We start from the raw sequence: 21,429 nt of genomic DNA, 5'->3' as shown, positions 1-21,429 counted from the left end.
ACCAGCCTGGCCAACACGGCAAAAGCACATCTCTACTAAATATACAAAAATTAGCTGAGCGTGGTGGCGTGTGCCTGTAATCCCAGCTATTTGGGAGGCTGAGGCAGGAGAATCGCTTGAACCTGGGAGACGGAGGTTGCAGTGAGCCGAGATCATGCCACTGCACTACAGCCTGGGCGACAGAGTGAGCCTCCATCTCAAAAAAGAAAAAAAAAAAAAGAACTGATAGAAGCAAACATCATTTAAATATTCTTTATTTTTTTGCATTATGAAATAGTTTATACAGAAAGATACAGAGAGTAAGAACTGACTCATATACTCACAGCCAGCTTTATCAAATTTTAAGAATTGGCTATACAGTATTTGCTTATTTTTAAAAGAAATGAATAATTAAAGGTATTTTCATTTGCATCCTTTCCCCAATCTCAGTTGTCTTTCTCCCTGCAGGTCACCACTGTTCTGAATCTGATGATTATTTTATTAATTCTTTTAGATCCTTTTTATATAGTATTTAGCCATGACAAAAATACATAACACTAATTTGCATGTTTTGAAATTGTACGTTATACTGTATTATATAAAATAGTCTGTAGTTCAATTTCATTAATACTATTTTTGAGGTTTACCCATGTTGACAGAAATATCTCTAGTTATTCATTTTAGTTTGCATTCTATCTTGTATTTAACCTAATGGTTAGATTGCTTTCAACTTCTCATTCTCACAGTTCTGCAATGGACCATCATATGTATCTCCTTGAAACACGAGGAGAGACTATGTAGAGGTTTAAACATGGAATTGCTGGGTCAAAGATTATTCACATCTTCAACTTTACTAGACATTGCCAAATTATGCTAAACACAACTACTTCCTATAGCACCGTATGAGTGTTCCTATTGCTCCACATCTTTCCAGTAATTGGCACTCTAATGCTTTTGCCAATGTGATGATTTTGAACTAGTTCAATGTGATTTTATTTTGCATTTCCCTTACTACTAGTGAATCCCCTTACTACTAGTAATACCCCCAAATCCAATCTTTCTCTCTACTGGTATGAACCATCATCATATGCAGTTTCTACAAATAGATTCGAAATTTTTCTTGCTGCTCTTAAGAATTTATACCTCATAAATTTCAGAACAAACCTGTGAAGCTAAAGGGCAAAACAAAAACAAAAACAACAAACAAAAAAAACCACTGAAACATTTTGGCTGGAATTGCAGTAAATTTGATAATTAGGAAGAATCGCCAACTTTATTATATTGAGTCTCTGCAGTCTAGGCTATATAATGCTCCTTGATTTAGTTTCTTGTTACTCTTCCGTTTTCTGCGTTTAGAAAATCTACTGTTTTATATTTAAGTATTAATTACATGTCTCCACCTCTGGAATTTTACTCCATGAGAATGTGGCCTTTGTATTGCTCACTGTCATTTCCTCATACCTAAAACAGTGTCTGACAAACAGTAATTACTCAATATTAACAGAATGAATGCCTATATTATTTGTGTATCTATCTGTTTTCTTCCCTTAATCCCCTTTTGATTTCAATTTTGCAACCACTGGATAAATAATTTTAAAACTTTACATTTTTCTATAGTATGGAACACTTTACATGCCTTCTAAATTACCCGAATTTAACCATACAATTAGCTGGGGGTAGTGCTTTTTTTTTTTTTTTTTTTTTTTTTTTGAGATGGAGTCTTGCTGTATTGCCCAGGCTGGGGTGCAGTAGCACGATCTCAGCTCACTGCAACCTCTGTCTCCTGGGTTCAAGCAATTCTCTTGCCTCAGCCTCCTGAGTAGCTGGGATTACAGGCGTGCGCCACCACACCTGGCTAACTGTTATATTTTTAGTAGAGATGGGGTTTCACCATGTTAGGCAGGCTGGTCTCGAACTCCTGACCTCATAATCCACCCACCTCGGCCTCCCAAAGTGCTGGGATTACAGGAATGAGCTACTGCACCTGGCCAGGGTGTGGTGCCTATTTAAGGGGATCACATGAATTTCTATGTTTATTGATTTTTTTTGGTTAATTGTGACCATTTCTATTCCTTCCTTGATTTAAATGTAGGTTCTGCATTCTTCCCAGTGAATTCTATTTTTCTTAATTGGCTTATCCAATTCATTATCTGTAGAAACTTCCTAAAACTGGCTGTCAGTGTTATAGTTCCACTACCTGACTTCATAACAACTACTAAGCTACAGTACAAAGACTGCCATTTATGTTCTAACATTTTTAGATTTTCCAAATTCTGAACTGGTGTTTTGCAGGAATGCTCCACTTTGTCCAATAAGGAATCTTGTTTTGTGAGGAGTAGATGAGTTAATATATGTAGAGTATGTAAGACAGTGCCTGATGTGTAGTGGGCACTCAATACATGTTAGCTATTATCATTTATTGAATATCTGCTATATTTGACAGACTATATGAAGTATTTTACATGCAAATTTCTCATTTAATATGCATCAATCTACAACAGACACTATTTCACTTAATACTTACATTTCTACAGTACAGTATCCTATATTATTCCTATTTTAAGATTTAAAGAAAACCCTGAGGTTTAGATAAGCAAATTGCTCAAAGTCACGCAATGCCATAGTAGTGTTGGAGCTATGATTTTCCAGAATCTAAGCTCTTAGTCCTGGGAAGTGCCTAGTGCCCAAAGAAGAAGACTGGAATAAAATAAGGCTGAATGGTGTGTAAGAACCAAATAACAAAAGCCTTGCAGACAATTTTAAAGGCTGTGAATATTAGTCTAAGAACAATAACAAGCAAAAAAAAAAAAAAAGTTTTAACTGGAGATAGTAACATGTGTTTTCTTTTCTCTTCTTTTCTTTTTATTTTGAGACGGAGTTGCAGCCTTGTTGCCCAGGTTGGAATGCAATGGCGCCATCTCGGCTCACTGCAACCTCTGCCTCCTGGGTTCAAGCAATGCTCCTGCCTCAGCCTCCAGAGTAGCTGGGATTACAAGTGTGCACCACCACGCCCGGCTAATTTTGTATTTTTAGTAGAGATGGAGTTTCGCCATGTTAGTCTGGCTGGTCTCAAACTCCTGACCTTGGGTGATCTGCCTGCCTTGGCCTCCCAAAGCGCTGCGATTACAGGCATGAGCCATCACACCCAGCCCATGTGTGTTTTCTTATTCTTTAAAAAGAACACTTTGAGGCTGGGCGTGGTGGCTCATGCCTGTAATCCCAGCACTTTGGGAGGCCGAGACAGACAGATCACTTGAGATCAGGAGTTCAAGACCAGCCTGGCCAACATGGCAAAACCCCATCTCTACTAAAAAATACAAAAATTAGCCAGGCATGGTGGTGCATGTCTATAGTCCCAGCTACTCGGGAGGCTGATGCATGAGAATTGCTTGAACCCTGGAGGCAGAGGCTGGGAGTCAGAGGTTGCAGTGAGCTGAGATCGTCCCACTGTACTCCAGCCTGGGCAACACAGCAAGACATTGTCTCAAAAAGAAAAAAAAAGAAAAAAAAGATCCGTTTGAGTGCATTGTGGGAAATGGATTTAAAGGTAGCAAAAATAAATACAGGAAAACCTGTTTGAAAGCTATATTAGTAATCAGAGTGAGATGAATCAGACCAAGGTGACAACATTAAAGATAAAAAACAGTATAAATTCTAGAAACATTTAGGACTCAGGATCTATAGGACTTGGTGATTGACTGGGTTGGGTGGTGACAGTGACTCCCCAATGTGAATTCTCTGGTGATGAGCAAGGTGTGCATGCTGCCTGAAGGTTTTTTTGCATTCCTTACATTCATAGGGTCTCTCTCCAGTATGAATTCTCTGATGTTGGGCAAGGGATCCACAGTAACTAAAAGCCTTTCCACAAACAGTACATTCATAAGGTTTCTCTCCAGTATGAACTCGCTGATGTTGAGTAAGGGACGAGTCATTGCTAAAAGCCTTCCCACATTCAATACATTCATAGGGTTTCTCTCCAGTATGAACTCTTTGATGCTGAGCAAGGTAGGCAATCTGGCTGAATGCTTTCCTACATTCCTGACACTTATAAGGTTTTTCTCCAGTATGAATTCTCTGATGTTGAGCAAGGTGTGAATTCTGGCTAAAGGCCTTCCCACATTCCTTACATTCATAGGGTCTCTCTCCAGTATGTATTCTCTGATGTACAGTAAGGTATGCACGAAGGCTAAATGCTTTCCCACAGACATTACATTCATAGGGTTTCTCTCCTGTATGAACTCTCTGGTGTTGAGCAATGGATGATCTGTTGCTAAATGCTTTCCCACATTCGATACATTCATAGGGTTTCTCTCCCGTGTGAACTCTCTGATGTTGAGCAAGGTAGGCAAACTGGCTGAAGGCTTTTCGACATACCTTACATTCGTAAGGTTTTTCTCCAGTATGAACTCGCAGATGTTGAACTAGGTGTGCATTCTGACTGAAGGCTTTCCTACATTCCTTACATTCATAGGGTTTTTCTCCAGTATGAATCCTCTGATGTTGAACAAGATTTGATCTCTGGCTGAAGGCTTTTCCACACTCTATACATTTATAGGGTTTCTCTCCAGTATGAATTCTTTGATGAAGAGTAAGGGATGAACTCTGGCTGAAGACTTTTTCACAGTCATTACATTTCAAAAGTTTCTTCTCTGCACAGACACTCTTGGGCTTAATAGCCATTAAATTTTTTTTAAAGCTTCTCTTTTGTGTGTCATGTTTATGTACTTTCTCCTCTTTGGGGATTATCTTTTGTGTACAAAGCAGTGGGTTCTGATGAAAACTTCCCCAAGATTTATATTCTTGTTCTCTCTCATCAAAAAGGGGTTCTTCATGAGTGATTATCTCTTCCTTGAAACACGCCTTCTGATTACCTGGTTGCCTTTCAAAATAGCCCTCACATTTCCACTCTTCTCTCAAACTGGAGTATTCAAGGTTATAGCTTGTAAGTGTTTCTATTATCTTCTGGGATTGATGTTCTTCATAAAAATCCTGCTTTGGGGTTAATTCTTCAGTCTCACATATAGGCTCCCAGCCTGAAAAGTAATAATAAGAAAAAATGTCTCCTCTATTGAGTATCAGAAAGTACATTTAATAAAGTACATCTGTAAAGTAAAATATGTGAATTAAATAGCAAAACCCACAGGAACATTGGCTTTTGCAGTTCTGAAGTGTACAAGAAGAGAAACTGAAAACAGGTCATACAGAAACCTAAGAAGGAATGATTAGAATTATAAAAGAAAAATCAGTAAATCTCAGGGCAGAAGAAATTAGAGATGTGGTCAGAGTTGGTTACAATTTTATGCCTGTATTCATAAAATAGACACTGAAACAGTCTCCATTCTTTTAGCTGCTTCATTCAAGAACATTCACTGAACAAATATTTACCTTTTGCCAGATACTGTTCTGATGCTTTTAATATCACAAAACAAAGATCTTTACCTTCAGGGATGTTATTTTCTTAGAAGAGACAGAAAATAAGTGATAAATAAGTAAATTTCATTTTATGTTAGAAGATACTACGTGCTTCAGAGAAAGAAAATCAGGGTAGGGGATGTCATGGATACTGATGAAATTAGAGCTAGGAATCATTAACAAGTTAACATTTAAGCAAAGATTTGAAGAAAGTGAAAAAGTCAGTCAGTCATTCAAGTCTCTGGGGAAAAAGCATTCAGGGAAGAGGCAGCAGCTGGTTCAAAGGCCCAAAACTAGAAGCATGTTTACTATGTCTGGGGAATATTAAGAAGGCCAGTGTGGCTATAGAGTGAGTAGTAGGATATAAAGTCAGGAGGTAAAAGGTAATGAGATTATTTAAGCTTCACCGGCCTTCTAAAGAATTTGGCTTCTACTCTGAGAGGGACGGTGTATTAGAACATTTTCACGTTGCTGTAAAGACACTACCTGAGACTGGGTAGTTTAATTGACTCACAGTTCTGCATGGCTGAGAAGGCCTCGGGAAACTTACAATCATGGCAGAAGATGAAGGGGAAGCACGCACCTTCTTTACAAGGTGGCAGGAGAGACAGAGAGAGGGAGAAAGGGGGGGAGGGGGAGAGAGAGAGAGAGAAAGAAAGAGAGAGAGAGAGAGAGAGAGAGAGAAAGCAGGGGAAACTGCCACTTTTAAACCATCAGGTCCCTTGAGAACTTCCTCACTATCATGAGAACAGCATGAGGTAAACTGCCCCCAAGATCCAATCACTTCCCACCAGGTCCCTCCCTCAACACATGGGGATTACAATTCAAGATGAGATTTGGATGGGGATCCAGAGCCAAACCGTAACAGATGGTAATACAGCTCCATCCAAATCTCGTGTTGAAATGTAATCCCCAATGTTGGAGGTGGGGCCTGGTGGGAGGTGACTGGATCGTGGGGGTGGAGTCCTCACGAATGGTTTAGTACCATCCTGTTGGTAGTGTCATGATAGCGAATTCTCATGAGATCTGGTCCTTTAAAAGTGTGTGGCACCTCCCCCATCTCTCATGCACTCCTGGCTTTTGCCAAGAGATGTGCCTGCTCTCTGTTCACCTTCTGCCATAATTGGAAGCTTCCTGAGACCTCCTCGGAGGAAGATGCCGCTATGCTTCCTGTACAGCCTGCAGAACTGACAGCCAGTTAAACCTCTTTTCGTAGAAATTACCCAGTCTCAGGTATTATATTTCATTATAGCAGTGCAATGGCCTAACACAGATGGAGACCCATTGAAGTGGTTTGAGTAGAGGAGTAATAGCTGGTTGCTATTCCATGAAATCACCACAAAATGTGGTATATACGTACAATAGATTATTCAGCCTTAAACGAGGAGGAAATTCTGACATATGCTATAATACAGATATAACTTGAGGACATTACAGTAAGTGAAATAAGCCAGTCACAAAAGGACAAATACTGTATGATTCCACTTATATGAGGTACCTAAAGTAGTCTGGCAATACAGCAGACTAGTTATAATGACAAATCTTCCTGGTACAAAAAAGCTTACAATTTTGTAGAAATAGAAAAACTTTCTTTTAGCTGCATTACCAAGCTGGCAAGAAATTAAGGTAAACTCTCAGAGGTCAAACAGACTGTGGAAGGCACTTTCAAGTAAGTAAGGTGGAACTGAAGCTGGGAGCATCAATTTATCCCTGGTGAGTCTGGTCTTAGGCACATGTAACTGGAGTTTTAAGAAAAATAAACACAGAGAATGGGAAAGTGACAATATGTGAAGAGATAATAGCTGATAATTACCCAGAGTCCATTAATGGTCAGATAAAAAAAATCACAATAAATCCCAACTACAGCAGCTGAAATTTACATCTAGATACATCACATTGAAAATACAGAATAACCAGGGCAAGAAGAAGAAAGTTCTTAAAAGTTGCAAGGAAGAATATATTAATGAAAACTGACTTCTCAAAAGCAAGAACAGAAGCCAGAAAAGCATGGAATGGTATCTTTAAAGCACTCATAAAAATAATCTGTCACCGGGCACAATGGCTCACGCCTGTAATCCCAGCACTTTGGGAGGCTGAGGCGGGCAGATCACGAGCTCAGGAGTTTGAGACCAGCCTGGCCAACATAGTGAAACCCCCATCTCTACTAAAAATACAAAAAATTAGCCAGGCGTGGTGGCACGCCCTGTAATCCCAGCTACTCGGGAGGCTGAGGCAGGAGAATTGCTTGAACGCGGGTTGGGGAGGTTGCGGTGAGCCGAGATTGCACCACTGCACTCCAGCCCGGGTGACAGTGCAAGACTCCATCTCAAAAAAAAAAAAAATCTGTCAATCTATGACTGACAGAGAAAGCTTCTTCTATGCATGACAGCAAAACTATCATATAAATGAACAAAACATAACAACAATAAAAGTTGATATGAATAGTATATAAATATTTATAAAGAAGTTACTTCAGGAAAAAGTTCTGGGACAGAATGGTGAACAGGGAAAATGACAAACATGGATAATTTTTTGTTTTGTTTTTTTTTTTGAGACAGAGCCTTGCTCTGTCACCTAGGCGGTAGTGCAGTGGCACGTTCTCAGCTCACTGTACCTTGAACTCCTGGGCTCAGGCGACCCTCCCACCTCAGCCTCCCAAGTAAATGGAACTACAGGCACACACCCCATACCCAGCTAATTTTCGCATTTTGTAGAGACGGGGTTTCACCATGCTGCCCAGGCTGGTCTCAAACTCCTAGACTGAAGTGATGCACCTGCCTTGGCCTCCCAAAGTGCTGGGATTACAGCCATAAGCCACCACACCTAGCCAAAAGTGGATAAATCTAAACAACACTAAATATAATATGGTCTAAATTAAATAAATATAATAATGGTCTATTATACAACTTCATAAAGCAAAATAATAATTTAAGAAAAGCAAGGAATAACTGAAATGAGGGTAAGTGAAGTTAAGACAGTCTAAGGTTCTTGGTGTTTTGTTTTGTTTTGTTTTTTGAGATGGAGTTTTGCTCTTGTTGCCCAGGCTGGAGTGCAGTGGCACGATCTTGGTTCACTGCAACCTCCACCTCCTGGGTTCAAGCGATTCTCCTGCCTCAGCCTCCCAAGTAGCTGGGACTGCAGGTGCATGCCACCACGCCCAGCTAATTTTTGTATTTTTAGTAGAGACGGGGTTTCACCATGTTAGCCAGGCTGGTCTCGATTTCTTGACCTCGTGATCCACCCGCCTCGGCCTCCCAAAGTGCTGGGATTACAGGCGTGAGCCACCGTGCCTGGCTACGTTCTTGTATTTTTAGTGGTCAAATATAAAGATTAGAATTAATTTTAGGTTTTGTTAAGGTGACTATAAATGTTAGATTTTCTAAGGTAACCAGTACAGAATAGAAATAGATTGTAAAACATTCAAATTAGGAGATGGAGAAAAACCAAGAAATAAGAAAAATTTGAAAAGGCACAATTTATAAAAGAAAGTGAGGTAGTGGAAAATAAATCCAAATCTATTAATAGTACCAAAAAATTTAACTGACCACCACCATCATTTGGTTAAAAGATAAAGGTTATCAGACTGGATTTTAAAAAATGTTTATCCAAATACTGCTTATAAGAGAAACACACAGCAAGCCGGAGAATAAAGGAGTAGGAAAAAACTACATCAAGTAAATATTAACAAAAGGCAAATATAGCTATAACAATATTAAGTGAATTCTTTTTGCTTAATCAGATAGTCACTAGAATTAAAGAGAGTAACAATAATATAAGAATTCACTAGAAAAATAAAACATTCTAAAAACATATGACCAAATGAAATACCTTCAAAATATAAAAAAAACTGCTGTTACAATTACAAGAAAAAAATTTATGTATTTACCACCAGAGTAGAAGTTTCTTTAACATGTCTCTCAGTAATTGATGGCTCAAAGACATTTTTTTTAAATTCATAAGGACACAGAAGATTTGACCAGCACAGTTAATGAGCTTAACCTAATGAGCAAATATCAAACACTGTATTCAACAACCAGAAAATACATATTATTTTCAAGGACACAAAGAATATTTACCAAAACTAGCCCTAAGAAATAAAGCAAGTCTCAAAATACTTTCAATAAATGTATATTGAAGAGATCCCATTCTCTAACCATAATACAATTAAACAAGTACCAAACAAAAGCCTTCAATTTCAAACTTCTAAATAATTCACGGATCAAGAAATCATTGAGAACCAGAAAAATAATGGACAACTTCATCTAATAAGTTTGAAAACTTACATCAAAACTAAAAATATTTAGAAAAAAATACCCTAATTGCCTCTAGGAGAAATAGAAAACCTAGAATTTTAGAACATATCAAATTGAATGATTAGTTTAAATTCTTTTAACAATAAAAATTCCAAGCCAAAATGAACAAAGTTCTACCAAACATTCAAAAAACAAATAATTTTTATTTTACACAAATGTTTCTAAAGAAGAAAAAGAGAATTTACGAGACTAATCAACCTTGATTCCGAAATCTGACAAGAAAGGAAAACTGAAGATCAAATTCACTAATAAATACAGATGCAAAACACCCAAACAAAATATTGGCAAACAGCAACTAGCAAAAAGTGGAAAAGATATAAAGATGGGTTTAACTTGGGAATGCAATGTTGGTTCAACATTTGAAAATGTATGTAATTTACCACATTAAGATGTGAAAAACTAAAACCTATTAAGAGGTAAAAATCACCCACAGATGGAGAAAAACATTTGTTAAAACTCAAAAGCTTTCCACAATGAAACTCTAGCAAACAGGAATGAAAGGGTATGTACCAAAACTTTTAAGCATCAAAATTATTAAAAAACAAAATGCTAAAGTATTCTTATTAAGACCGGAAGTGGACAAGAATGCCTGTTATCACTACTTCGATTCATATTATACTGGAGATACGACAAAGGCAACAGAAAAATAAATTAAGGTATAAGAATTGAAAATGAAGAAACTACCATTATTCACAAATATATCTACTCATACATAAAATCCAAACATATTTAAAAATATTATTAACAGGAGAGATTGGCAAGGTTGCTGGATATAAGGCCAATGCATACGAAGTTAATTTCATTTCTATATATGAGCAACAAACAGAAAATATAGATAACATTTAACACAGCAACAAAACTAATATGTTTAATGTTTACAATTTAATCTAACAGAAGATGTGCAAAGCCTTTTTTGGAGAAAATTATAAAACACTGAAAAAAGTGAAAAAACCTAAATAAATGGAGAGCTATACCATGTTAATGAATTTTTAAAATTTCCAGAATTGATTACAGAATAAATAAAATTTGAATCAAAAGTTAAAATTTGAATCAAAAGTTAACAGCATTTTGTTGTTTTCTGATAGAAATTTACAAGTTGACCCTAAACTTTATATTGATGTCCAAAGGGCAAACAAGAAATTCTAAAGAATTTAAACAAGCTGTAGAGATTTTCCCTAGCAGATAATTATCCTTCTAATAAACTATTTTTATTAAGACAGTGTGGTACTGGTATAAGGAAACAGAGATCAATGAAACTGAATAAAGCTTAAAGTCAAACCCATATATAGACTAAAACCTGGTATATTAAGAGGTAACATTCAGAAAAACAGGCAGAGGGAACACTTATTCAAAAAATATCTGGGACCTTTGGTTTTCCATAAGATACAGAAATTAAATTCTTATTTAAAATAATCCTCAAAAATAAGTTCCAATTGGATTATGGACCTACATATAAAAGGACAATCTTTAAAAGACTATTTTCAGATATCTATATGAACTCAGAACATAGAAAGGTTTCTTAAAGTATCAAAAACATAAGCTACAGGCTGGGTGCAGTGGCTCACGTCTGTAATCCCAGCACTTTGGAAGGCTGAGGCTGGCGGATCACCTGAGATCAGGAGTTGGAGACCAGCGTGGCCAACATGGTGAAACCTCGTCTCTACTAAAAATACAAAAAAATTAGCCAGGCGTGGTGGTGGGTGCCTGTAGTTCCAGTTACTGGGGAGGCTGAGGCAGGAGAATCACTTGAACCCAGGAGGCAGAGGTTGCAGTGAGCCGAGATCATGCCACTGTACTCCAGCCTGGGCAACAGAGCGAGACTCTGTCTCAAAAAAAAAAAAAAAAGTTACAAATACACACACACACACACACACACACACACACACACACACACACACGACAACCTCCCCCACAATGAGCACCTTAGGAAAAATCACACATGCAACCTGTTTTTCCTTTTCTCTCGCACCACAACAATAAACACAGAAGGCTTCTGTGACTGAATGTGGGGGTTTCTCTCCACCAACAAGCAAGCAATGAATTCTGCAGTGGGTGTCCTCTACCTCAGCTCTATTTTGATACTGTCTACCTGGAGATAGCATCAGATCCCTCAGGTTGAGGACTCAGTCCCCAAGGCTGCCTACACTTCTGATGCTCTGTAGAGCTCAAAAATTTATAAGAGGCCAGGCACAGTGGTTCATGCCTGTAATGCCAGCACTTTGGAAGGCTGAGGCAGGCAGATCACGTGAGGTCAGGAGTTTGAGACCAGCCTAACATGGAGAAACCCTGTCTCTACTAAAAATACAAAAATTAGCTGGGCGTGGTGGCATGTGCCTGTAATTCCAGCTCCTGGGAAGGCTGAATCAGGAGAATTGCTTGAACCCGGGAGGCGGAGCTTGCAGTGAGCCGAGACTGCACCACTGCACTCCAGCCTGGGTGACAGAGCGAGACTCTGTCACAAAAAAAAAAAAAAAAAAAAAAGTTTATAAGACTACTACAAGATTTTTTAAAGACTGAGAGGCTTATGAAACTGAGAGGGGATGGGACTTGTTAGAAAGGAGATAGGAAAGTAAGAGAAGGGAAATAATTAAAAATAACAAATGTGGGAGAACATCCTAAATGGCCCCAAATTTTTATGAAAACCTAGAACATTTGAGAAGAATTTGGAAGCCTGAAGAGTGAAGAGGTGATACCTTTGAGTCAAGCTGAGCTGTCACGTGCAAAGATTTTTGCCAATTTCCTCTTCACTAACCTGAGCACAAGCCTTTTGTCAGCTCTCTCTTCACCATCCAGGGTGCTTTTCCTTGTTCCAACAATAATATCACACTTGGTTTGGAAAAGCAAAGTCCTGCAAATACGAAAAAAAAAAGTAGAGTTTTGTCATGCTGTGGATATTCCAGAACTCACATTCAATCCTTAGCTCATCAGGGAAAAGGGAGTTTACAGTAAGCAAAAAGAGAAATGTGTAAAGGACATGTATTAGAAGGATAAGGAAGATGAAGCTTCAGGCACAGGCCAAGAATATGTTCACTGCCAAATCCACAAACACTAAGCCATTTGTTTGGCATAGGCAGCAGACATTCAGCCAAATTTTGCAGATATTATCCAAAAATTCACAATAGTGGTAGCAAAGAGCCCCTTTTGAGCAGAAGCTCAGTTTTGCAAGAAGATATCCTTACCCAGTGATACCAAGATCCTGTAGTTCTCTAGCATCACATTACTGTACAGATGTCTTTGAGAAGAATCCAGACAATCCCATTCCTCTTGGGAGAAGTCTACAGCCACATCTCTGAAGGTCACCAACTCCTGAAATGAAATAAATGGAAGAACCTTATCTCTTACCATATTCACCTCATTTCCTCTGCCCTAGGCACACTGGGCTCTCTCTGATATTACATCCTCAAATATGTAACCATGTTATCATATTTGTACTCAGGGCCTTTGTATATCTCAGATTATTCCAGTATAAAATAGCACTGCTTCCACCCCAATTCCCTATTTCCTAACCCTCCTTTATTTTTCTCCACTGCACTTAATTATTTTATTCATTGCCTGTTCTTCACCCTCCTCAACTAAAATTTAAGCTCCATGAGGGCAGAGTATGTTTTGGCTTTGGTCACTGCTTTATCCCCAGGTACAGAATAGAACCTGGCACATGTGAAGTATTCAAATTCTGACTCAGTTGAATTAATCAATGAGTGGTTTGAAGAAAATTTCAAGAAGCTAGAAAGGGATCAAAAACAATACCAGAAAGTATTCACTGTATCTCTGAAAACTGTGCTAGACCAAGCAGAGCAGAGCATCAATTCCATTAAAATTCAAATACTTTAATCCAGAGTTCCCAAAATTTTGTGTAAAGAAATGGGTGTTCTACTCATAATATTGCTTCTGCCTACAGGGGTTAGAGAAAGTTCTTAAAAACTTGACACTGAGCTGGGCTCACGCCTGTAATCCCAGCACTTTGGGAGGCCAAGGCAGGTGGATCACCTGAGTTTAGGAGTTTGAGACCAGCCTGGCCAACATGGTGAAACACTGTCTCTACTAAAAATACAAAAATTAGCCAGGTGTGGTGGCACATGCCTGTAGTCCCAGCTACTCCAGAGGCTGAGGCAGGAGAATCGCTTGAACCCAGGAGGCGGAGGTTGCAGTGAGCCAAGATTGTGCCACTGCATTCCAGCCTGGGCGGCAGGGCGAGACTCCATCTCAAAAAAAAAAAAAACAAAAACAAAACAAAACAAAAAAAACTTAATGCTGCTGTGATGCCACTGGATTCCAGGTTTCTATAATGTGACCACTTGCTGATGAAACAAACATACATTATATGTGTATGTATTAATTTAATTTTTTACAAAATTAAAAGATGTGAACCTGTCAATGCAACCTTTTGCATTTGACACAATTTTGTTACAGTTAAAGAAACTGTCTCTAGGCTGGGTGAGATGGCTCACACCTGTAATCCCAGCACTTGGGAGGCCGAGGCAGGTGGATCACTTGAGGTCAGGAGTTCCAGAACAGCCTGGCCAACATGGTAAAACGCTGTCTCTACTAAAAATACAAAAATTAGCTGGGCATAGTGGTGCGCACCTATAATCCCCGGTACTCAGGAGGCTGAGGCAGGAGAATCGCTTGAATCCGGGAGGCAGAGGTTGCGGTGAGCTGAGATTGGGCCACTGCACTCCAGCCTGGGCAACACAGCAAGACTTTGTCTCAAAAACAAAACAAAACAAAAGAAACTATCTCTACAGAAGCAAAATTCTTCAAGTTCAATGCTCAGTCACCTTTTTTCTTACTTAATTATAGGAAGTAGGTAAATCTCTCCCTCTCTGCTCCTGCTAACAATGCTTCCTAAAATGTTTTCCTTAGCTTATATAAATACATATAATAAATGTATAAATATTTATATATGACATACATATTTTCCACTGATTCTTGATAGTCAACAAAAATAATTTCTATGTCAACATAGGAGCTTAAATTCTGATCTTAAAATATTTGACCCCTAACAAATACTTGGTTTCAAAATCCATTCACAATTATCATTAAACCAGTCTGAAGCAAAACTACAGTTCCCACTTTTTCCTGTTTTCTTTCTGCCCTTAAAGAAACATGGCTTCCAGCTGAGAGAACGACTTCCCCTGATGCCCTATCACTGATGAATGTTTTATTCCCCACATTCCTTGTACCACAGCACCTGAAGGTGAGGCAGGTCACCTCTTTGCTCTTATTTCCAAACCATTTCCTCCTCCCTAAAAGACATCTAGTTTTAAACCTCATGAAATTAGGATATGTCAATCACAATCCCTCCTTGTGATATATATCTACTAATTTCTGATAGACACCAGTTCTCTGTCAGTCCTTAAATTCTTCAGCACCTGACTCACTGTTACTCTCTTCAATGCCATTCCTATCATTCTTTGGTCACTTCGATATCCACATAAATAATACTCCCCACAACCTCGCCTCTTAGTTCTCTGACCCCTCTCTCCTGGAATAGTCTCATCCTCTACGCTTCTACAGTCATTCATTCCCATGGTCATAACCCAGACCTTGTCAGTACCAGTCAGTACCAAACCCTTCATAACCTCAATTATCCCACTCTGACTTCTACCTCCTATACCTCAACTGTTGCCCTATGATACCCCAAACTGGATAGTTATTTGACTCCACCAGAAATCAAATTCTGGAGAAGTACAATTCACTGATCTTACCACTTTTTGCCACTTTTTCACTGTTCCTCATCCCCGAGTACCCTCACTTCCCAGCACAACCACCTGTTATAATCACCCCCTGCATATGCCCTTGTCTTCTCTGCCCCTCTCTCACTTAACTGTACTCACTTGGTTAAACCACAGCCATTTTTCTGCTTACTCTGTGCCTGTATCCTGCATAGCTGAACTCTGCTAGAGAAAATCATACCAACCATGCTAAGCAGTCTCACTTTAAATTCATGATCACTTAACCTCAAGTGGGCGGAAATGCTGCATGATACATTTCCCTAGTCCATTCATCCCTTCACTCTGCTAAATGACCATTTGATACTGTCCCCTCTCACCTCACACCTTCAAGATCTCCTTCCCCATGCTCACTCTCAGCTGATAATCTTATTTTCTCTGAGAAAACAAAACCCATTGAAAGATAATTCCCACAAACTCCCACCACATCTACACTTCCACCTGCACCTGTGCTTGTACACCCTAACATGCCCTTATTCCTATAACTGAACAACCCACTTTCCTAGAAAAGGCCAAACACTTAGCTCCTCTCACCTACTTAAGCACATTGTTCCAGCAATTCCTTTTTCTCTATTCATCTTCAAATTTCCCTTTCTACTGAATCTTTAACATCAGCCTGCCAACATATATCCATCTTTCTGAAACTTTGTCAGTTATGACTTTCTCCTTCAGTTACCACCCATTTCTTTCCTTCTTTTTTTTTTTTTTTTTTGAGACAAAGTTTCACTCTTGTTGCCCAGGCTGGAGTGCCATGGCACCATCTCAGCTCACCGCAACCTCCACCTCCCAGGTTCAAGCGATTCTCCTGCCTCAGCCTCCTGAGTAGCTGGGATTACAGGCATGCGCAACTACGCCCGGTTAATTTTTTGTGTTTTTAGTAGAGACGGGGTTTCTGCATGTTGGTCTGACTGGTCTCGAACTCCCGACCTCAGGTGATCCGCCCACCTCGGTCTCCAAAGTGCTGGGATTACAGGCGTGAGTCACCGTGCCCAGGTCTCTCCTTCTCTTATAGCTAAACTTTTTGAAAGAGTTGTCTATGCTTTCTATTACTTCCACCCACCCCCGCCTATAAATAATGACATCATACAACTTATGTATTAACAAGATCACTTTGGCTGCTCCATTGAGAACAGACTAAAAAGAACAAGAGTAGAGGTAGAGAGAGAAGTTAGGAGAGTACCACAGTAACACAGGTGAGAGATGATGGTACAGAACATAATGGAAGCAGTGGTGATAGTAAAAAGTTCTCTGGGCCGAGTGCGATGGCTCATGCCTGTAATCCCAGCCTTTGGTAGGCCGAGGCAGGCGGATCACAAGGTCAAGAGATAGAGACCATCCTGGCCAACATGGTGAAACCCTGTCACTACTAAAAATACAAAAATTAGCTGGGCATGGTGGCACGTGCCTGTACTCAGGAGGCTGAGTCAAGAGAATCGCTTGAAGCAGGGAGAGGCATAGGTTGCAGAGAGTTGAGATTGTGCCACTGCACTCCAGCCTGGGTGACAGAGTGAGACTCCATCTCAAAAAAAAAAAAAAAAAATAGTAGTCTGATTCTGGATGTATTTTGAAGTCTCTAATTTCCTGATAGAAGATGTTTAGCTTAAGCAATGGAGCCAGGAAGTACGTTAAGAGTTTCCTAGTTGAGTTCCCTAATTCTATCCTTGTCCCATTCAGTTTACTCTCAGTAGCAACCAGAGTGATGCTACCAAAATGAAAATCAGTTCATGTCACTCATGTTCCAAAACCGCCAATGGCTCATTTCACTCCATTTGTAAGATGTTTGCATTTGACATATCTCTTATGCAACCAAATGAAGATGTAGGCAGTCAGGTATACAAGTCTAGAGTTCAAGAGAGAGGTCTGGGCTGTACACAATTTGGTAGTTGTTGGCATATACATGGTATTTGAGGCTATGAGACAGGATGAGATCACCAGGGTAGTAAGTGTAGAGAACAGGATGAGGGACTAAGACCTGCGACACCCAGTGGTAATGGGTGCTTACTAAAAATTAGAATGAATGAACGTTTTTGGTTAGAGACTAGAGTGAGGAAGTTGGTCTGTATCGGGTATCTGAGGGAACAGTATCCCAGGCAGAGAGAATAGCAAGTGCAAGGCCATGCATTAAGAATGCATGGGTGCAGTGGCCGGGTGCGGTGGCTCACGCCTGTAATCCCAGCACTTTGGGAGGCCAAGGCGGGCGGATCACGAGGTCAGGAGATCGAGACCATCCTGGCTAACATGGTGAAATCCCGTCTCTACTAAAAATACAAAAAATTAGCCAGGCGTGGTGGTGGGCGCCTGTAGTCCCAGCTACTTGGGAGGCTGAGGCAGGAGAATGGTGTGAACCTGGGAGGCAGAGCTTGCAGTGAGCCTAGATCGTGCCACTGTACTCCAGCCTGGAGACAGAGCAAGACTCCGTCTCAACAAAAAAAAAAAAAAAAAAAATGTACTCACTGGCCAGGCATGGTAGCTCACGCCTGTAATCCCAGCACTTTGGGAGGCCGAGGCAGGTGGATCACCTGAGGTCTGGAGTTTCAGACCATCCTGGCCAACATGGTGAAACCCCGTCTCTACTAAAAATACAAAAATTAGCTGGGCGTGATGGCGCACACCTATCGTCCCAGCTACTCGGGAGGCTGAGGCAGGAGAATCGTTTGAACCCAGGAGGTGGATGTTGCCGTGAGCCATATTGCGCCACTGCACTCCAGCCTGGCAACAGAGTGAGACTCTGTCTCAAAAAAAAAAAAAAAAAAAAAAAAGAATAAATAAGAATGTACTCACCACATTACAAGGAAGCTAGTGTTGCTGGAACTGAGTGACTGAGTTAAAGACAGGATGAGAAAAATTAGATGAAGTCAGAGGGACAGTCAGGGACCAGATTATGCAGGGCCCTGCAGGTCAAGACAAGGACTTACGCGTTTATCTTGAATAAGATGGGAATCCAATGGAGAGTGTTGATAAGGGACATGACTGGTTACCCAGAAACGTTTCAGCAGAAGGAAAATTAGTACCTGCTTGTTTTGAAAAGCAGACAGGTATTCAGGAAATCGAGAAAACACCAACACACCTGGTACATGGCTTTAAGAAGCCCAACAGCCATTCTTTCTTCCTCCTGGCTCTTCTCTTGGGAAATAGCAGTGGCCTCAGATGACTGAGATGGGGAAAAGAACATGAGAAACTAGACTTTTCTTGCAGCATCCAGAATCACCAGTCTAGACTTTTTAGGATTCTCTTTCCTCCTCTTGCAACCTTCCCTCCAATAGAGAGAGCATAATGGAGACCTAGGAATTTGTTTGCATACAATTTAACTGATGCCTAAATCATTTCCCAATTCCTTAGGTTAACAACAGATGTTCTAGGCTTTACAAATACAGACTCAGAGGAATGTAAGTTTTCACATAAAGACACAGAACTAACAAATAAGAGCACCAAGATCAAATAAAAGAGGACCTGACCCCACAATCCTCCTCTCCAATAAATCAGTGATTCTGAAACTTGGTGGCACATTGATATGACTTGGGCTGGCTTTAAAAGCCTCTCCGTGGCACACAGTCTCTCACTCAATCCCCCACATAATCAGAGTCTGAAAAACTACAGTGCCAACCACCGTCTTACCCACGCCACAGTCAGAGGCCATGGGTATGGACTGCCTCACACGGGCACCCTTTCCCATACCGGCAAGGCTCAGCCACCAGGGTATCTATCACAAGCGACAATCTCACAACCCAGTCACAAAGAAGCCGCGGGTATCGGCCCAACAAGGTGCAGCGAACAGTCGCCCGCTCCCGCCTCAACTCACAGCCTCACATTCCACGGTGCCATTGACTTCCTCGCACCCAGTCACACAGGACGTGGACAGGCACACGGGGTGACAGCCTCGCACTGAACGGTACCAACCTCCACTCGCACCGGAGTCACACAGATGGCCTGCGACGAGCTTCCGGAGACCCACACGCCACTCCTCAGCCCACTCCCGACCTGCAGAACAGAACTGGTGGAAGATCTCCTTCCTGCCCCGAAGGCTCGGGGAATCTGCACTCGGGTCTCACCGCTACCCTTAGTTGGATGGAACCCAGCCCTTACGGGCCCGGAAAGAAGCGCCTCAGCTGCCTCCGCCCCCGGAGGACACAAAGGGGCCGCCGGCCCAACTCCCGCGGGGTCCGCTGGGAAACGTAGTCCGGAGTAGAAAAGGTCGCGGCGTCGCAGTGTCTGGCAGCAGCGGTGCAGCTCCGCGCAGGGTTTGTAACACGGCCTCCTCCCCACCAGGTCCTCCCACACTGGCCTCTCCCCGGCCTTCCAGAGAGCCCGAAAGTCCGGATTCCCTGCAGCTCCGAGCCTGGCCCGGTCACAGGGACGGGGCCCAGCGTCACACTACACGGGCTGGTGTGGAAGTGCGCAGGCACAAGCGCTCTGCGCGCCTCCCTTAGCAACCAGGGCGGGGAGTTGAGAATCGCAGGTTGGCCGCAGGGAAAAGGTTTGTGCGTGGGAACGCGCTAGTGGCGCGTCTACTCAAAATGGGTGGGAGGCGAATTCCTAGAATTGTGCTGGATACCCGAAAAAAATTGGGAGGGGAGCGGGGTGGGGGGGATGCAGGGTGGTAAACTGCGCAAGCGCACTACACTCCTGGCAGTCTCCCACCCGCTACCCTCAGCCTGGCACGGTGGCTCACGCCTGTAATCCCAGCACTTTGGAAGGCCAAGGTGGGCAGATCACGAGGTCAGGAGTTCGAGACCAGCCTGACCAACATGGTGAAACCCCGTCTCTACTAAAAATACAAAAAAATTAGCCGGGCGTGGTGGCACGCGCCTTAAGTCCCAGCTACTCAGGAGGCTGAGGCAGAAAAATTGCCTGAACCTGGGAGGCGAAAGGAGGCGGAGGTTGCAGTGAGCCGAGATCGCGCCACTGCACTCCAGCCTGAGCGACAGAGCAAGACTCCGTCTTAAAAAACAAACAAACAAAAACCTCGTGACCTCAAATGATCCGTGCGCTTTGCCCACCCAAAGTGCTGGGATCACAGGCGTGAGCCACCGCGTCCGGCCTATTATCTCTTTATTAAAGGTATTAAGACCGGCCCCGTGCGGCTCATGCCTGTAATCCTAGCACTTTTTGAGGCCCAGGCGGGAGGATCGCTTGAGCTCAGGAGTTCGAGAGCAGCCTGGGCAACATAGCGAGACCTTATCTCTACTAACAAACAAACAAAAATCAGCCGGGCGGAGTGTCCCTTGATTGTGGTCCCAGTTACTCGGAAGGCCGAGGCAGAGAATCGCTTGAGCCCGGGAGTTCGAGGCTGCAGTGAGCCAACATCGCGCCGCTGCACTCTCCAGCCTGGGCAACAAAGTGAGGCTCTGCCTCAAAAAAAACAAAACAAACAAAAAAAAAAAAACACGAAAGGCATAGAGAAGTTAAGTACCTAGTCTGAGATGACACAGCTAGTAAGGCCAAGTCTGTTTAGAAGTCAGGCGGTCTGGCCACACTACTTTTCGCTCACGATCCCGGGTCATGAAATCCAATAACACTGTCACACTCACAATCGAGAAGTCCAGAAAGAACAAATACATGCACATTGTCTCTGACAAAACTGCAAGGTCAGAATCAAACAGCCACGAGAATATAAAACGCGACCATGGTCACACAAAAGGTCGCATATTCGCACGACCTCAGATGTCACTGGACAGGGTCTCTCGCCCTGGAAACCCCACTCCAAATTCCATGGCCGAAGTTTCACACATACAGTCACACTACGTCACTCCTCCCTCTTCTAGCCGCTGTCAGGACCTTAAGGCTCCAGCTGACCCGGCCTTCACTGGCCCTGGAGCTCTCACCACCTTCACCCCGCTGTATTCTAGCCTCAGGTAGAGACCCAAAAAGACGGAACTAAACACACTGAGCCGGGCTTCCTTCACGGACCTTGCGAACCTGCAGCTCCAGCCGACTGTAAGAAGGAAGTGCCTTTTTGCAGGTGGGGTCGGGGAAGTAGGGCCGCGAAGGCCTCT

General features: G+C 41.8%; 2 protein-coding genes across 7 annotated transcripts in view, besides 1 other annotated feature; one reads left to right on the top strand and one right to left on the bottom strand.

Annotated features, from left to right (window-relative positions):
- Positions 1-238: 238 nt before the first annotated feature.
- ZNF570 (zinc finger protein 570) lies at positions 239-21,119 on the bottom strand. 6 transcript variants are annotated; one of them, NM_001300993.3, is made up of 6 exons: positions 20,965-21,119; positions 19,334-19,414; positions 18,504-18,587; positions 12,884-13,010; positions 12,457-12,552; positions 239-5,012 (listed from the first exon to the last, which is right to left on the bottom strand). In NM_001300993.3, exons 1-6 carry the CDS (start codon positions 20,998-21,000, stop codon positions 3,658-3,660), a joined length of 1,779 nt encoding a protein of 592 aa, NP_001287922.1. In that variant the 5' UTR covers positions 21,001-21,119; the 3' UTR covers positions 239-3,657. The 6 variants fall into 6 exon arrangements, with proteins under 6 accessions (NP_001287922.1, NP_001308922.1, NP_653295.1 ...); NM_001321993.3 differs by lacking the exon at positions 20,965-21,119 and having other exon boundaries at positions 12,398-12,552; positions 19,334-19,535; NM_144694.5 differs by lacking the exon at positions 20,965-21,119 and having other exon boundaries at positions 19,334-19,535.
- Positions 19,361-19,860: an enhancer, noted in NCBI's record as "active region_14548". NCBI's record gives its function as "activates an Ori minimal core promoter by ATAC-STARR-seq in GM12878 lymphoblastoid cells {active_cell/tissue: GM12878}" and the evidence as "EXISTENCE:reporter gene assay evidence [ECO:0000049][PMID:35858748]".
- ZNF569 (zinc finger protein 569) overlaps positions 19,626-21,429 on the top strand; it is a 58,109-nt gene continuing 56,305 nt past the window's right edge. The window contains exon 1 of the mRNA XM_006723048.5: positions 19,626-19,910. The gene's annotated coding sequence lies outside the window, so the exon portion shown is untranslated. The remainder of the gene's footprint in view (positions 19,911-21,429) is intronic.

The sequence above is a fragment of the Homo sapiens genome, chromosome 19 (genome assembly GCF_000001405.40).
Source record: "Homo sapiens chromosome 19, GRCh38.p14 Primary Assembly".
Classification (NCBI taxonomy): domain Eukaryota; kingdom Metazoa; phylum Chordata; class Mammalia; order Primates; family Hominidae; genus Homo; species Homo sapiens.
The sequence above is the reverse complement of the archived record's forward strand: the minus strand, read 5'-3'. Positions and strand labels throughout refer to the sequence as shown.

Bases quoted from the DNA above. Each gene is read 5' to 3' on its own strand.
- ZNF570 (NM_001300993.3), bottom strand. From the start codon at position 21,000: ATGTGCATGTATTTGTTCTTTCTGGACTTCTCGATT. The intron at 13,011-18,503 runs GTGTGTTGGTGT...ATTTCATTTCAG, and splicing joins TTCTTAAAGCCATGTACCAG to GAGTTGGTGACCTTCAGAGA. The intron at 12,553-12,883 runs GTAAGGATATCT...TCGTATTTGCAG, and splicing joins CAGGATCTTGGTATCACTGG to GACTTTGCTTTTCCAAACCA.